The 17,393-nt window shown below is 42.1% G+C and overlaps 1 protein-coding gene across 3 annotated transcripts in view, besides 2 other annotated features; it reads left to right on the top strand.

Annotated features, from left to right (window-relative positions):
• MSL2 (MSL complex subunit 2) overlaps positions 1 to 17,393 on the top strand; it is a 47,419-nt gene that overhangs the window by 5,725 nt on the left and 24,301 nt on the right. The window lies entirely within an intron of this gene.
• Positions 991 to 1,492: an enhancer, noted in NCBI's record as "H3K4me1 hESC enhancer chr3:135907961-135908462 (GRCh37/hg19 assembly coordinates)". NCBI's record gives its function as "activates a minimal SCP1, AML or CMV promoter by ChIP-STARR-seq in primed H9 embryonic stem cells {active_cell/tissue: H9 hESC(primed)}" and the evidence as "EXISTENCE:reporter gene assay evidence [ECO:0000049][PMID:30033119]".
• Positions 2,127 to 2,628: an enhancer, noted in NCBI's record as "H3K4me1 hESC enhancer chr3:135906825-135907326 (GRCh37/hg19 assembly coordinates)". NCBI's record gives its function as "activates a minimal SCP1, AML or CMV promoter by ChIP-STARR-seq in primed H9 embryonic stem cells {active_cell/tissue: H9 hESC(primed)}" and the evidence as "EXISTENCE:reporter gene assay evidence [ECO:0000049][PMID:30033119]".

Genomic DNA, 17,393 nt, shown 5'->3' with positions numbered 1-17,393 from the left:
TGGAGATAACTTGGAAAGTATCATGGTCAAACTCGGGAACATGAATATTTTCCTTTTTTTTTTTTTTTGAGACAATCTTGTTTTGTCACCCAGGCTGGAGTGCAGTGGTGCAGTCATAGTTCACTGCAGCCTCCAACTCCAGTCCTCTGGCATTAGCCTCTAGAGTAGCTAACACTACAGGTGTGCGCCACCACACGTGGTTGGCTAATTTAAAAATTTTTTTTGTAGAGATGTGGCCTTGCTGTGTTGTCTAGATTGGTCTTGAACTCATCTGGCCTGGGTCTCCCAAAATGCTGGGATTACAGGTGTGAGCCCCGGTAGCTGTACTATTTCTTTATTGGTCACCTGTGATGTTCTAGATGCTAAGATAGAAAGATGAATAAGACACATGGCACAGGCCCATATATATTGGTCAGTGTTACTGGGAAGACAAGTAAACCAACAATTATTGGCCAAGTGCTGAGTAGAGGCACTTAAGCTATAACAGACCTCATGTGTCACGATAGAAAAATTAGTAATTTTTTATTTTTGAGACAGGGTCTTGCTATGTTGCCCAGGCTGGAGTGCAGTGGCATGATCTCGGCTTACTGCAACCTTTGTCTCCCGGGTCCAGGTGATCCTCCCACCTCAGCCTCCCAAGTAGCAGGAACTACGAAAGTGCACCCCCGCGCCTGGTTAATATTTGTAGAAAACTTACCAATTAACATTTTGTACATGTAAAGTTTCAGAAATTAACCATGAAAGCGCATTTATTTGTGTAGAGTTTGTTTTTGAATAGCTCTTTGGTCAGAGGTTAAACATTGGTGTTAAAACAGGGTCTATTTTAACAGTTTTTTCTTAGTTTACCTGTTTTCTGATCTGGGAAGAATTCTTTTTTTTTTTTTTTTTTGAGACGGCGTCTCGCTGTCGCCCAGGCTGGAGTGCAGTGGCGCCATCTTGGCTCACTGCAAGCTCCACCTCCCGGGTACACGCCATTCTCCTGCCTCAGCCTCCTGAGTAGCTGGGACTGCAGGCACCCGCCACCTCGCCCGGCTAATTTTTTGTGTTTTTAGTAGACAAGGGGTTTCACTGTGTTAGCCAGGATGGTCTCGATCTCCTGACCTCGTGATCCGCCCGACTCCGCCTCCCAAAGTGCTGAGATTACAGGTGTGAGCCACTGCGCCCAGCCTCTGGGAAGAATTCTTTAGAGCACATTTATCTAGTATGCAGGTAGGAAGAACTGTGTTTAGTTAGTAATTTTCTTGGTAGATACAATTCAGCTATAGATAGCAGATCTATTTTCTTAACTTTTTTTTTTTTTTTTAATTTTCTCGAGACAGGGTCTTGTTCTGTTGCCTAGGCTGGAATGTGGTGGCATGATCACGGCTCAGTGCAGCTCAACCTCTTGGGCTTAAGCTGTCCTCCCACCTCAGCCTTTCAATTAGTTGGGACTGTAGGCGTGCGGTACCATGCTCGCCTTATTTTTGTGTGTGTGTTTTTTTTTTTTTTTTTTTTTTTTTTTTGTAGAGACAGGGTTTCACCATGTTGCCCAGGCTTGTATGATCTCTTTTCCTAAGGAAAATCTCCTAAGAAAAATCTATAAAAGTTCTAAAATATTTGCTTCTACTTGGGTATATTTATGCAAGATGATACTGCTTTAGGGAAAGGACTCCCTAAATGCATTGTTACCAGTGCTGAGATGAAAAGAGGTTTGATTTGCAGCCCTTCATCTTATGATAAGTTGAAAAGGTAATAATAGTTTAAATGTGGGTTCAAGGCAGGCAGTATGGTACTGTAGAATTAGGCAGATGAGACTGTTTCAGTCTGGTAAGATCTGGTAGGTGTGGGGCTTGAGCTGGGCCAAGAGAAGTGGTGTAGTGGATACTTTTTTTTTTTTTTTTTTTTTGAGACAGGGTCTTGCTCTCTTCCCCAGGCTGGAGTGCAGTGGCTCGATGTGGGCTCCAGCAGTCCTCCCACCTCATCGTCCTGAGTAGCTGACACTACAGGCATACGCCATCAATGCCCTGCTAAATTTCAGATATTTTGTAGAGATGGGGTTTTGCTGTATTGTCCAGGCTGGTCTTGAATTCCTGGCCTGAGGCAGTCCTTCCACTTTGGCCTCCCAAAATGCTAGGATTATAGGCATGAGCCACTGAACCCAGCCTGTTAGTGGACTTTTTTTTTTTTTTTTTCTTCTTCCAGATGGAGTCTTGCTCTGTTGTCAGGCTGGACTGCAGTGGTGCGATCTCGGCTCACTGCAACCTCTGCTTCATGGGTTCAAGCGATTCTCCTGCCTCAGTCTCCTGAGTAACTGGGACTATAGGCATGCCCCACCACGCCTAGCTAATTAGTGTATTTTTAGTAGACACGGAGTTTCACCATGTTGGCCAGGATGGTCTCGATCTCTGTACCTTGTGAACTCCCCCAGCTTGGCCTCCCAAAGTGGTGGGATTACAGGTGTGAGCCACTGCGCCTGGCCTAGTGGACATTTTTAAGTAAGGCCTGAAGGAGAAAACCTTTGGCTTGTGTAAACAGCAGTAAATTGGGTTTACCTGGAATGAAGAGCTCTTGTAGGAGAGCCCTTGCCCTATAGTGGTTATTCAGGGGCCTTTTGTGTGGAGAGTTTTGATCCCAGGCTAAGGAATGTGACATTCACCCTGTAGACCCGTTTCTTTCTTTCTTTTTTTTAAAAAATATGTTCTACAGGCCACCTGAATCAAAATCACCTAAAAGCTTATTAAAATCCAGCTTGCTAATCATCACACCAGACTGATTGAATTAGAATCTCTGTGGACAGGCCCTTGTAATCTGCATTTTAACTGCCTATCTTGATTGGGATGAGAGGATTTGCAAATCAGTGTTATAAGCATTTGAAAAACAATATTTAAGTAGGATAGTGATACAACTGAAATTGTTTTAGAAAATATTAATTTGGGGGTCAAAAAAAATTTTTTTTTTTTTTGAGACGGAGTCTTGCCCTGTCACCCAGGCTGGAGTGCAGTGGTGTGATCTCGGCTCACTGCAACGTCCATCTCCTGGTTCAAGCTATTCTCCTGCCTTAGCCTCCTAGAGTAGCTGGGACTCTACAGGCATCCGCCACACCCAGCTAATTTTTTTTTTCATGTATTTTTAGTAGAGACAGGGTTTCACCATGTTGGCCAGGCTGGTCTTGAACTCCTGACCTCAGGTCATCCTCCCACCTCGACCTCCCAAAGTGCTAGGATTACAGGCGTGAGCCACTGCGCCTGGCCAAATATGGTTTGTTTGGAGTCTCTAATAAGAGGATTCTTTAATGAGGCTTGAATAGAGTGGTGGGAGTGAAAAGAAAGGGAACAACATAAAATGAAAAGGGAACATTTGATCATTCTTACGGTTATCATAACATTTTAATTTGAAATGTATTGTGTTATCTTTGTCGTAGTTGGGTTTATCTCGTTATAAATTGATTAAATGAGATGTTTTCTAGTCTTAAGTTGGTGAGTATGTTTAGCACAGTGCTTTCACATAACATGTACTTGATAAAATGTACAGCTAATCCTCCGTATCTGTGGGTTCTGCATTTGTGGATTCAGCCAACCTTGGATCTAAAATATTTGGGAAAAAATTGCAACTATGCTGAACATGTATGGACATTTTTTTTTGGTCAGGATTCTCTAAGCATTACAGTATAACAACTACTTACATAGTATTTATATTGTTTAGGTGTTATAAGTAATCTGCAGATGATTTAAAGCGGCAGTTCCCTACCTTTTTGGCACTAGGGACTGGTTTCATGGAAGACTATTTTTCCACAGGGTCAGGGGATGGTTTCAGGATGATTCAAGCACATTACATTTATTGTGCACTTTATTTCTATTATTATTACATTGTAATATGTAATGAAATAATTATAGAGTTCACTATAATGTAGGATTAGTGGGAGCCCTGAGCGTGTTTTCCACAAGGGTCCCATCTGGGGGTGATGGGAGACAGTGACAGATCATCAAGCATTATTTCTTAATGAGTGTGCAGCCTAGATGCCTTGCTTGCACAATTCACAATAGTGTTTGTGCTCCTATGAGAGTCTAATGCCACTGCAGATCTGACAGGCAGAGCTCAGGTGGTAATGCGAGCAGTGGGGAGTGGCTGTGAAGCTTTGCTTGCTGGACCCAGTTCACTTCCTGCTCACTTCCTGCTGTGCAGCCTGGTTCCTAACAGGCCAAGGACCGGAGCCTGTCCATAACCTGGAGGCTTAGGGACCCCTGATTAGAAGAATAGAGGAGGATATGCTTAGGTTATGTGCAAATACTATGTTGTGTTATATCAAGGACTTCAGTATCTGCAGATTTTGGTATTCAAGCGAGATGCTTGAACCAATCACCCATGGATATCTAGGGACAGTTATACAATGGTGTTGAAGAACTGACAAAACCTGGCAGTTTGACACAGACATATGGGAAAAATTGAAGGAGTCAAAAGGTCACTTAGTTCATATCAGAAATGAAGTAAGGAAGGATGTTGATTTTTGGGGAACCTGAAGAGTTGAGGTAGTCTAGGTTTGAAGTAATGTAAGGATAGCCTAGTTAAAGAATTCTTCAGGGATTTTTAGCGATATGGTTGTGGTAATTGAGCTAAATATTCTGCAAAACAGCCATGCTGTTGTTTTGACAACCTCTTTTAGAACAATTTTTTTTTTTGGCTTCCATTTTCCCCAAGTTACCTTGTCTGTATGTAATTGTCTCCATTGATTTTAGTTTTGTCTTCTGGAATAATTCAGAAAGCCTTTGATAAAATTTTGCCCTTCAGCGTTGGAAGACAGCTTTGTCATTCCTGAGGAGTTGGGTCCTGGCCAGGCGTGGTGGCTCACGCCTGTAATCCCAGCACTTTGGGAGGCCGAGGCAGGTGGATCATCTGAGGTCAGGAGTTTGAGACCAGCCTGGCCAACATGGTGAAACCCTGTCTCTACTAAAAATACAAAAATTAGCCGGGCGTGGTGGTGCGCACAGGAGAATTGCTTGAACCCAGGAGGCGAAGGTTGCATTGAGCCAAGATTGCACCACTGCACTCCAGCCTGGGCGACAGTGAGACTCTGTCCCTTCCCCCACCCCCCCCTCCAAAAAAAAAGAAAAAAAGAGTTGTGTCCCAAGTTATTCTGGTAGCATCCTTGTTTTAGTTTCCTCTAAAAGGGTGATTTTTGTGTCCATATCTATAGTATTTTAGATAAGGTTAGATGAAGTTATCTTCTATGATGACTTGAATGATTTTTCTGTTTCATTTGTAAGATGAGGTTGTTGGATTAAAGCATAACTTTTGCTATGAATTTGATTTCCAGACTTTTTTTTTTTTTTTTTAGCTTTGTTAAAAATTTGCTGAATTGGGCTGAGCACAGTGGCTCATGCCTGTAATCCCAGCACTTCAGGAGGCTAGGGCTGGCGGATCCTTTGAGGTCAGGAGTTTGAGATCAGCCTAGCCAACATGGTGAAACCTTGTCTCTATTAAAAATACAAAAAATAAGCCGGGTGTGGTGGCGCATGCCTGTAATCACAGCTACTTGGGAGGCTGAGGCAGGAGAATTGCCTGAACCTGGGAGGTGGAGGTTGCAGTGAACTGAGATCCTGCCACTGTACTCCAGCCTGGGCTACAGAGCAAGACTCAGTCTCAAAAAAAAATGAGTTGGTGGTTACTGTTTCCAAACCTAGACCTCACATAAAAATCCAAATTTTTAGGCACTTCCTGGAAAAGTATGAGGTTTTGCAACAGTGGAAGCATTGAATTGGAAGCATTCCATTATTGGCTAGCATCATTGGCTAGATTTGAGAGATTGGCTTTTTTCTTTGGTGGTAGGAGTATGTCCTCCTCAGTTTGTCCTTGGTCACACGTGACCTTTGTCCCCCCCCCCCCCTTTTTTTTTTTTTAACCTTTATCTAACTTGCTCCTGTAAGAATTCGGGTTTGTAATTCTCAGGAATGAAGGATTTATCCAGGCCCCTTCTTGTACGCTGGAGGTTGTTCAGAACCATGGAATTCTTTTTTTTGTTTGTTTGTTTTTTTGAGACGGAGTCTCGCTCTGTCGTCCAGGCTGGAGTGCAATGGTGGGATCTCGGCTCGCTGCAACCTCCGCCTCCTGGGTTCAAGGGATTCTCCCACCTCAGCCTCTGGAGTAGCTGGGATTACAGGCTCCTGCCATCATGCCCAGCTCATTTTTTTTTGTGTTTTTATAGAGACGGGTTTCACCATGTTGGCCAGGCTGGTCTTGAACTCCTGACCTCAGGTGATCTGCCTGCCTTGGCCTCCCAAAGTGCTGGGATTACAGACATGAGCTACTGTGCCCAGCCCAGAACCATAGAATTCTTTTTTTCAGACGGAGTCTCACTCTGTCGTTCAGGTTAAAGTGCAGTGGCACCATCTGGGTTCACTGCACCCTCCGCCTCCCGGGTTCGAGCAATTCTCCTGCCTCAGCCTCCCGAGTAGCTGGGACTACAGGCGCCCACCGTCAACGCCCGGCTAATTTTTTGTATTTTTAGTAGAGACGGGGTTTCACCGTGTTAGCCAGGATGGTCTCTATCTCCTGACTTCGTGATCCGCCCGCCTTTGCCTCCCAAAGTGCTGCGATTACAGGCATGAGCCACCACGCCTGGCCAGGACCATAGAATTCTAATGATGTGATCTTCAATTATTTTGTGAAATCTTATTACCTGGATAAGAGTCAGGATTGCTTTATCTTGTTTGGCAGTTAGAGAACAGTTGTTGATTCACAATATTTCTGGTCAGTTAAAACATTTTCACAGGTTAGTCGATAGTATTGTTCATTATTTTCTCTGTTCTTACAGACTCTTAGTAGTTTTGTCAGTTATTGAGTTGAAATCTGAACTATATGTGTTTTCAGTTTCTCTTCAGAGTTTTATCATAAGTTTTTGCTGCATGTATTTTGAAGCTCTGTTGGTAGGTTTATGAAACCTTTTGGAACTTATGGAATATAGTTAAAATAACTACCATTTTAATAACTTTGATTTTTCTAGCCTGGGCAACATGGCAAAACCCTGCCTCTACAACAAATACAAAAATTAGCTGGACATGGTTGGTGCGTGCCTGTAGTCACAGACCCTTGGGAGGCTGAGGTGGGAGGATTGCTTGAGCCCAGGAGGCAGAGGTTGCAGTGATCGAGGTCGTGCCACTGCACTCCAGCCTGGGTGGCAGAGTGAGACCTTGTCTCAAAAAAAAACCAAAAAACAAAACTTTCATTTTAAAAATTTTTCATAGAGGTGGGGCCTCCCTGTGTTTCCCAGACTGGTCTTGAACTCTTGGCCTCAAGTATTTTTCTCCTCCTACCTTGGCCTCCCAAAGTGCTGGGGTTACAGGAGTGAGCCACCGCATTTGGCTTAATATAAATTTCATTTTTAATGTTGTTTACTAATTCTATCATCTTTCATTTTCTGGGTTTGTTGCTCGCACTGGTTTTTCTTCTCATCATGGGTTATATTTTCCTGCTTCTTTCTTGGCCTGGTTAATTTTCCAGCTATTGTGAGTTTTACCTTGTAAAATTTTACTTTGTTGCTGGATATTTTTGTACTACAAATATTCTTGAGCTTCGTTCTGGGATGAGGCTAAGTTACTTGGAGACTGTTTGATCCTTTCAAGGCTTGTTTTTAAGCTTTTGTTCAGCAGAGTCGCAGCAGCTTTTAGAGACTAGTTTTTCCATGCTACTGAGGGCAGGAACCTTCTGACTACTCATCTGATGCCTTGTGAGATTCTCACTTTGGGTAGTGGAAGGAGGAATTACTCTGCTACTTCTGTGAGTTGTGGGGATTGTTTCCACTGCTTCTTTCTGGGGCTTCTCTGGTAGTTTATACGCATGTGCTAATTAATCAGTACTGAGCTGAAGACTTGAGAGGGACCTGGTACACCACTCTGGACTTCTTTCTCTTTTTTTTTTTTTTTGAGACGGAGTCTCGCTCTGTCTCCCAGGCTGGAGTGCAGTGGTGCGCTGGACCTCTTTCTCTGTGCAGCTCTCTCATCTCTGTGCTTCGCTCTGACAAGTCCAGCTGCCTTGGCTTCCAGCTCTGGCTTCTCAATTCAGGGGAGCTTTTTCTCCCCCACCCCCCTCAATCCAGGCTTTGGATTCTCCCTCCCTGTGCTTTTTGGCCTGAAAAGTATTCCCAGGCAATAAGCTAGGATGGTTGTAGGGTTTATATTTGTTCCCCTTTTCAGGGATCACTGTCCTGTGCCGCCTGTTCGTCAATATTTGAAAACCTATTGTTCTATTCTGTTTTTTAGTTATTTCAGTTAGGAGAGTAAATCTGATTATTCCAATTTTGTCTGGAAGCAGAATAAGATCACATTCTAAACCTACATTTTATACAAAGCCACTAGCCATATGTGACAATTTAAATTTCGTCTAATTAAAAGTAAATACAATTTAAAATCCAGTTCTTCTGTTATCCTTAACAACATTGTAAATGCTCAGTAGCCACATGTGAGTGTAATGGCTTCCTTATTGGACATTGCAGATATAAAACATTTCCATTGTTGCATAAAGTTCTGTTGGACAGTGTTATAACATTTAAAGAACTTAGATTTGTTCTTAAAACTGTGTGAGAAATTTGCCTTCAGTGTTTTCATCTTGTTTAAGTTTTGATTTTTTAAAAAAATTTTAAATTAAAAAATTTTTTTTTCTTCAGCCCACGTAAGTTTTGATTATTTATTTATTTATTTATTTATTTATTTATTTATTTTTTGAGACAGAGTCTCACTCTGTTGCCGAGGCTGGAGTGCAGTGACACTGTGTTGGCTCACTGCAACCTTCGTCTCCTGGGTTCCAGCAGTTCTTCTGCCTCAGCCTCCCGAGTAGCTGGGATTACAGGCGTCTACCACCACGCCCGGCTAGTTTTTGTATTTTTAGTAGATACGGGATTTCACCATGTTGGCCAGGCTGGTCTTCAACTCCTGACCTCAGGTGATCCACCTGCCTCAGCCTCCCAAAGTGCTCAGATTACAGGTGTGAACCACCGCGCCCGGCCAAGTTTTGATTTTAAAACATTGAGCTGGATGGGGTTGTGAACAAATTTTTGGAGCTTACCATTTACAGACCTTTAGAACAATTTCTTCACCTTAGTAATCGGGCCCAAGAAGGTGTTCCACGGTGGTAGTGAAAGGACTTCTGTTACTTTAGAAAAAGAGAAAACATTTTAAATGTTTATCTTCCTTTAAAATGAGGTAATGTGAAGAGATGTCAAATGAGCATGAGACAAATTAGTGGTGCTGTAACCAGTTAATAATTCAGCTTAATCCTTCTGTCATGAAGGTTTCATATTGTTTTAATCTTAGTCATGTATTTTATTAACTCTTACTCATTGTTTCAATACTTCATTCAATAGATCAACGGTTAGAGACAAGAAGCATTAAGAAAATTAAGTCGATAATGAAATACTAGATGATGAGCATAAAAATGTAAATGATTCTAAATATTTGGTTCACGATTTTTGTTACTTTTTTCTTTTTTTTTGAGACAGAGTTTTACTCTGTCGCCAGGTTGGAGTGCAGTGGCGCAATCTCACCTCACTGCAACCTCCACCTCCTGTGTTCAAGTGATTCTCCTGCCTCAGCCTCTTAAGTAGCTGGGATTACAGGCATGTGCCACCATGCCTGATTTTTTTTTTTTTTATTTAATAGAGTCAGAATTTCACTACATTGGTCAGGCTAGTGTTGAACTTCTGACCTCAGATGATCCACCCTCCTCTGCTCCCCCGCCCCGCAAAGTGCTGGGATTACAGGCTTGAGCTACCACGCCCGGCCAACTCCTTTTTCCTTCCTTCCTTCCTTCCTTCCTTCCTTCCTTCCCTCCTTCCCTCCCTCCCTCCCTCCCTCCCTCCCTCCCTCCCTCCCTCCCTCCCTCCTTCCCTCCTTCCCTCCTCTCCTCCTCTTCTTTTCTTTTCTTTTGTTTTTTCTTTTTTTTCTGAGACGGAGTCTTGCTCTGTCGCCCAGGCTGGAGTGCAGTGGTGCGATCTTGGCTCACTACAACCTCCGCCTCCCGGGTTCCAGCAATTCTCCTGCCTCAGCCTCCCGAGTAGCTGGGATTACAGGTGCCAGCCTCCGTGCCCGGCTAATTTTTGTATTTTTAGTAGAGATGGGATTTCACCATTTTGGCCAGGCTGGTCTTGAACTCCTGATCTCGTGATCTGCCCACCTCAGCCTCCCAAAGTGTCTTTTATTCTTTATAAGTTGTCTGTGTTAACATCCTGTATCTGAACAGGTCCTTGGTAATATTTCAAAAAGTAACGTTAAAAAGAGAAAATACAGTGCTACCCAGTATTGCTTTTTATTTTTGGAGACCAGAGACTGTTCATACTTGGAATGTGTTATTTGAAGTGTTTGTAGATGCCGTTTTGAAGCCACTTTTAGCTTATCACGTAGTAACAAAATACAAAAATTGTTAAAAAAAAATTTTAGTCGGAAACATAAGAAGTCCAAATATCAGGGTACATAGGCAGTTTTGCCCCTGTGTAATGTATGCCATTTTAGCCTACATTTTTAACATTCATGAGTTTACAAACAGGGCATGCCATTTTATTTTTATTTTTTATTTTTTTTTTGAGACGGAGTCTCGCTCTGTTGCCCAAGCTGGAGTGCAGTGGAGGGATCTCAGCTCACTGCAACCTCTGCCTCCTGGGTTCAAGTGTTCTCTTGCCTCAGCCTCTTGAGTAGCTGGGACTACAGGCCCCCGCCACCACGCCTGGCTAGTTTTTGTATTTTTAGTAGAGGTGGAGTTTCACCGTGTTGGCCAGGCTGATCTCAAACTCTTGACCTCAGGTGATCACCTGCCTTGGCCTCCCAAAGTGCTGTGATTACAGGTGTGAGCACCATGCCCAGCCCAAGATAAGCCGTTTTAAAGTAGATATGTCAACAAATGCATTTTAAAACTTAATTTAGATAAAATTGTCTTTGTATGCTTTAAGATGATCTTTATAGTATAATCTTGCCTAATATGCTGATTAAAAGTAGTTTTTTTTCCTTCAAATCATTTAATCACATTTACTACTTAAATGATGAAATGTCGCCAGGAGTTCTTATTACTGTGGAAGATGACTTCAAGGGAAGAAAAAGTTAAAAGTATTTTTAGTGATTCCTTATCCTGGTTCATCAGAATTTGGGAAGCTTTTACAAAATACACATTCCTCGCTGGGCAGGATGGCTCATGCTGTAATCCCAGCACTTGAGATGCCAAGGCAGGTAGATTGCTTGAGCCCAGGAGTTCAAGACCAGTTTGGGCAGTATAGTGAGACCCTGTCTCTACCAGAAAATAAAACATTAAGGATGGTGGTCCCTGCCTGTAATCCCAGCTACTCGGGAGCTTGAGGTGCAGGGATTGCTTGAACCCAGGAGGTTGAGGCTGGTTTGAACCATGATGGTGCTGCTGCACTCCAGCCTGGGCGATAGAGGGAGTACTCTGTCTTTAAAAAAGAAAAAAGTGAACAAAGTGAACACCTGTGACCAAATTTGAACACAAGGTTTATGACCATTACACTAAGACTGGTATAGCTAATTGGGAGGCTGAGGTGGGAGGATTGCTTGAGCCTTGGAGGTCAAGGCTGTGGTGAATTCTGATTGTGCCACTGCGTTCCAGCCTGGGTGACAGAGTGAGACCTTGTCTCTTAAAAAAAAAAAAAAAAAAAAAAAAGAAAACCAACAAAATAACTACATTCCTGGGCAGCATCCTCAGAGCTGGAGTAGGCCATGTAAGTGATCCTGGTAATAACCGTTTGATGGTAGTAGTGCTGTCTTGGAATACTCCACGTGTGAGGTTAAAAAAAGTGTGTGCTGGCGGGGCGCAGCGACTCATGCCTGTAATCCCAGCACTTTGGGAGGCCCAGGTGGGTGGATCACCTGAGGTCAGGAGGAGTTCGAGACCAGCCTGGCCAACATGGTGAAACCCCGTCTCTACTAAAAATAAAAAAGTTAGCTGGGTGCCATGGTGGGCGCCTGTAATTTCCCAGCTACTTGGGAGGCTGAGGCAGGAGAATTGCTTGAACCTTGTGAGGCAAGGTTGCAGTGAGCTGAGATTGCAGCACTGCACTCCAGCCTGGGCGACAGAGTGAGACCCTGTCTCAAAAAAAAAAAAAAAAAAGTGCCAGTAAATTTAAGCAGTGCTGTCTTAAGTTTTTTGACACCTATAGAATATTCAGTTTTAAGATGCTAATGTATTTTGGGATGACTCTCTTAAGAGGGTAATAAAGCAAACCTGGTTCCGTGCAACACCAATTTGGGAAATTTGGATCTTAATTTATGTTGGTTTATTGATTAATGTTTGTTCAGGTATGAATCAACTTAATTTTGCCTAATTAATCAGCCTACATTATCTTATAGGTAATAATTTTGTGAGTGGCTGTCATTGCTTTGCCAAAATAGGAAAATAATGGAATATTATAAAAGTGCTCTGTAACCACAAACATTCTATAAAAGCCTCCCCTACTTAGTTATTAAGATAAACGATGTCTGGCGTTCTCTTTTAGTTCTTACCAGAATATGAAATGAGGCATGGCTTGAGTATATGAATATGTTGTGGGTCTGAGTGGTTATACATATACATCATCCATTTTTAATAACCTATGATGAGTCTTTGTTTAATGGTAGTTGACTGGTGAAACTTATTCGTCAAAAGTGCATGTATAAAGTACTGACTTACCCAAAGATGATTCAATACAAAATTAAAAAAACTCCGAAGTTTAACTGTTCAGGTTTTCAGTGAACAGCTTGGCTTGAGTGACATTTATATTTTTAAAATTACAGTGTTTAACTGTTCTTTTTCTTCACCTCCACTTCCCTGTAAAATTGGCATATATGTTTAGCTATCACTGGTCTCTCAAATATAATGGTATTTAGTTATTTAAAGTGCTATAGTGAACGTTAAAGTAATTACTCAGTCAAGTGGTCAAAATATTACACTTTGTAGCATCTTTTTTTTTTTTTTTTTTTTTTTATGAGACGGAGTCTCGCTCTGTCGCCCAGGCTGGAGTGCAGTGTCGTGATCTCAGCTCACTGCGAGCTCTGCCTCCTGGGTTCATGCCATTCTCCTGCCTCAGCCTCCCGAGTAGCTGGGACTACAGGTGCCCACCACCATGCCCGGCTAATTTTGTTTTTTGTATTTTTAGTTGAGATGGGTTTTCACCTTGTTAGCCAGGATGGTCTCGATCTCCTGACCTCATGATCCTCCTGCCTCAGCCTCCCAGGGTGCTGGGATTACAGGCATGAACCACCGTGCCCGGCCTGTAGCATTATTTTTAGTGACTAAGGCACATCTGCCATATTAATTATTCTTTCTTGTTTTTAATTAAAATGCATATTTTTCTGGCATATGATTATTTGTGCTAGATATTTTAAAGAAATAGTTGACAGGTCTTTGGAATCCAGCTGATCAGGGATATTTAAATGGGCTAATGCTGATTTGGGCATAGTTGCTTGAATATTAGAGAACTGCTAATTTCTTCAAAACCTTAGTTTGTTATTTAGATTCAGTGATTTTTTGAGGCATGTATTTGCTTTTTGGTTCAGTACTAAAATAAAGTGGGTGGAGGTTTACAGTAACAGGTTTTAAGTGCTGCTCAATAAAAAATTTAAAGAAGAAAAACAGACTTGGGCTAGGAAGCCTCACAAAGGTAAACTTGTGCTGTCTTAGGAGAGTTCTCTGGTCTCAAGTTCATTTCTCTTTGACCTGAGCTTGTTATCTTTTATAGCAATGTGTAAGTCCGTTTGTGTTGCTGTTAAGGAATACCTGAGGCTGGGTAATTTATAAAGAAAAGATATTTATTTTGGTTCACGGTTCTGCAGGCTGTACAGGGAGTATGGTGCCAGCATCTGCTTCTGGTGAGGGTCTCAAGAAGCTTCCAATCATGGCAGAAGGCTAAAGGGGAGCAGGCCTATCACATGGCGAAAGAAGGAGCAAGAGAGAGAAGGGTGTGTGCCACCACACCTGGTTAATTTTTAAATTTTTTTTTTTTTGTAGTAACAGGGTCTCACTCAGTTGCCCAGGCTGGTCTTAGATTCATGGGCTCAAGTGATTCTCCTGCCTCAGCCTCCCAATGCTGAGATGATAGGCATGAACCACTGTGCCCAGCCGAAAAGTTTTTTTTTTTTTTTTTTTTTTTGAGAGAGGGTCTCATTCTGGTTGCCCAGGCTGGAGTGCAGTGACACGATCTTGGCTCAATACAGCTTCAACCTCCTGGGCTTAGGTGATTGTTCCACCTCACCCTCCCGAGTAGCTGGGATTGCAGGTGCATGCCCCCATGTCCTGCTAATTTTTTGTATTTTTAGTAGAGACGGGGTTTTGCTGTGTTGCCCAGGCTGGTCTTGAACTCCTGGACTCAAGCAATCCACCTGCCGTGGCTTCCCATAGTGCTGGGATTACAGGCATGAGCCACCACACCCAGCCGGCCACTGAAAAGTTTTAAAAGAAGTTTAGACTTTAAAATATGCCTGCACACAACTATATTGGGCAAAGAATATAGTTTTACTTGTCCAAGAACTGTTGATTAATTTGCACCAATTTGGAAATGATAAATACTAACTTTTTATGGTATAGTCGTTTTTGTTTGGCTGAATCCAGAGATTATTTCCTTGTATATGTATCTAGAATATGTCCTACTAGTTATTGTTTGGAAACATACTCGACATCTTTAATTTTGGAGTTTAATTTTGGTGCTATAATTCAGAGATTTAAAAAAGGTTTGAGAATGCCTTGCTAAGTGATGGCAGGCTTAGCACAGTGGCAGGCTTAGCACAGTGTTTGGCATATAGCTGGGTCCCAGGAATTATTTACATATGTAATGGAGGAAGGAGAAATGTTTTATTCAATGAACATAGGCTAAACAATTCACTCTTCATTTGGAAAAGGTGAAAAATGGGGAAATTTAGATAAATTGATTATGAAACGGTTATTGTTCCGGCCCTATCTCAGACTTGTTGTTGTTGTTGTTTTTTGAGATGGGGCCTCTGTCACGCAGGCTAGGGTGCAGTGATCCGATCATGGCTCACTTGCAGCCTCGAACTCCTGGACTCTAATGATCCTCCCACTTCAGCCTCCTTAGTAGCTGGGACCACAGGCATGTGCCACCATGTCTGGCTAATTTTGTTTATTTTTCGTAGAGGCAGGGTTTCACTATGCTGCTTAGGCTGGTCTCGAACTCCTGGGCTTGAGTGATCCTCCTGCCCCAGCCTCCCAAAATGCTGGTATTGTAAGTGTGAGCCACTGCACCTGGCCTATCTCAGACTTTTGACATCAGTGAGAGAAGTGTATTCTCCCACTTTTTTTTTTTTTTTTGAGACGGAGTCTTGCTCTGTCGCCCAGGCTGGAGTGCAGTGGCGCGATCTCGGCTCACTGCAACCTCCGCCTCCTGGGTTGAAGTGATTCTCCTGCCTCAGCCTCCTGAATAGCTGAGATTACAGGTGTGCGCCACCACGTCTGGCTACTTTTTGTATTTTTAGTAGAGATGGGGTTTCACCATGTTGGTCAGGCTGGTATCGAACTCCTGACCTCGTGATCCACCTGCCTCGGCCTCCCAAAGTGCTGGGATTATAGGCGTGAGCCACCATGCCCAGCCATGACTCAAATTCAGCATAGTTACTCTCATACCACAAGAGAAATAGAGTGTACGTGTTTATTTGGGTTGATCAGCATCGGTTTATTGCTATTACATTCCCAGAAAATTTTATAAATGAATGAAAACCAGCTTAGTCTAATCATGAGTTTAGTATATATGTATTTACTTATTTTAAACATATATATTACACATGAATACATTATGCATACACATTTAATATACATATACATATTAAGGTTTCTGATGCTGTAAATTTTAGACTGGTATATAGGCCGATCTTTGTTTTTTGTTGGAATCTCTTTTACACAGAAGATGGTACAAATGCTTTATAGCATATATGTCCACTTGAAGCATTTAAGGCTAACTTTAAAAATTGAAGTTAGTGTGTAGAGAATTTAGGCAGGGCTCTTGCTGGTCCAGTTTTTGTGCAGTAAGGATTTCCTGACCCTCACAAACCTGTTATTGAGAATCCATCCTCCCCTTCCTTTTGCTCTTCCTGCCTCAGTCACTATCCATTATTGCCAGTACCTGTTCCTATTTCTTCTTTCCAATAAAAGGTTGTATATCTTGTGGCTAATTATTCTGCCTATTGCTCAGTTTCTGTAATCATTTTTGGGAAGGGGCAAGAAGCTAAAATTGTCTCTGTGTATGCCATGGACTGTTTTAATAGAAGTACAGATAGTGCTGGATAAGTGAAAATAATTCTAGGCTGGGAATCAGTAGACTGAGCCTCTATTTTTCATTGCTAGTACCCAGTTATGTAATCCATGAAAGTCCATCTTGGTTAAAATGAGGTCACAGAACAAGTGATTACCAAGGTCACTCCCAGATTTAATGTTCTTTTTATGATTAATTCATTTTACATTTATTAGGTGCTGGCTTATGTGCCAACACTAGTTTAAAGATTTAGAGATAAATAAGTTTCTGGCCTTGAGTGAGACCCAGTGAACAATGACAATATAATGTGATTAAGTGCTGTAATAGGAGAATGTGTAAAGTGCTTTTTCAACAGATTGAGGGAGGTTAATTAAGAAAGGCTTCCTCTTGGAGGTCATATTTGAATTGATTTTTGAAGAAGAATTGACCATGCAAGGCAGGAAGAAGGACATTCTAGGAACAGCAAATCATGGAGGATGAGTAAGCATTGCATGTTTTGGAATGGTCAGTGGTGGGTGAGAATGGAGTATGGAGTTCTTGGAGAAAGCTTAGTGAAATGAGATTTGGGGTGGAAGACAGGTAGGTAGGGGCTAGATTCTGGAAGGCCTTATATGTCATTCCAAAGTCTTTGGATTTTAAAGTTCGCTTCAAGGGTTTTCAAGAGAAAGGCATGTAATCAGACTTGTGTTTTAGAAAGATCATATGGTGGCAGTGTGGAAGATGAATTGATTAGGTAAGGCACGGAGATAAGCTAGAAAACTCGAAATTCGGGGTGAACAATGATGAAGGTTGAACTAAGGCAGTAGTAGTCATGCAAATAAAACCTGAAGGGGTGGAATTGGCAGATTTTTATAAACTACATGCAGGGAGAACAATTGGATATGGAATGGAGGTGAAGAGTCTGGGTGGTTTCAAGGTATTTAGTTTGTGAATGAATGATAGTGTCAGTACCAAGAGAATAAGGGATGCAGGAGGAAGACCAGGCTTTTAGGTGGGGATTTATGGGAGATAAAATTTATATTTGCTCATGTTAAGCTTGAATTACCTGTGGGTTGGCAAAAGAGAGATGAGATTCCTAGTAGGCACTTCGATATTGGGTCTGAAGTTCAGGGGAGAAAGATTTGAGTTGGAGATACAGATTCAGAAGTCACCAGTTTATGAACAGTAGTTAAAACAGCTTTATGGGCAA

The sequence above is a fragment of the Homo sapiens genome, chromosome 3, assembly GCF_000001405.40.
Source record: "Homo sapiens chromosome 3, GRCh38.p14 Primary Assembly".
NCBI classification, from domain to species: Eukaryota; Metazoa; Chordata; class Mammalia; order Primates; family Hominidae; genus Homo; species Homo sapiens.
Note: the sequence above shows the minus strand (reverse complement) of the source record. Positions and strands in the feature narration are given on the sequence as shown.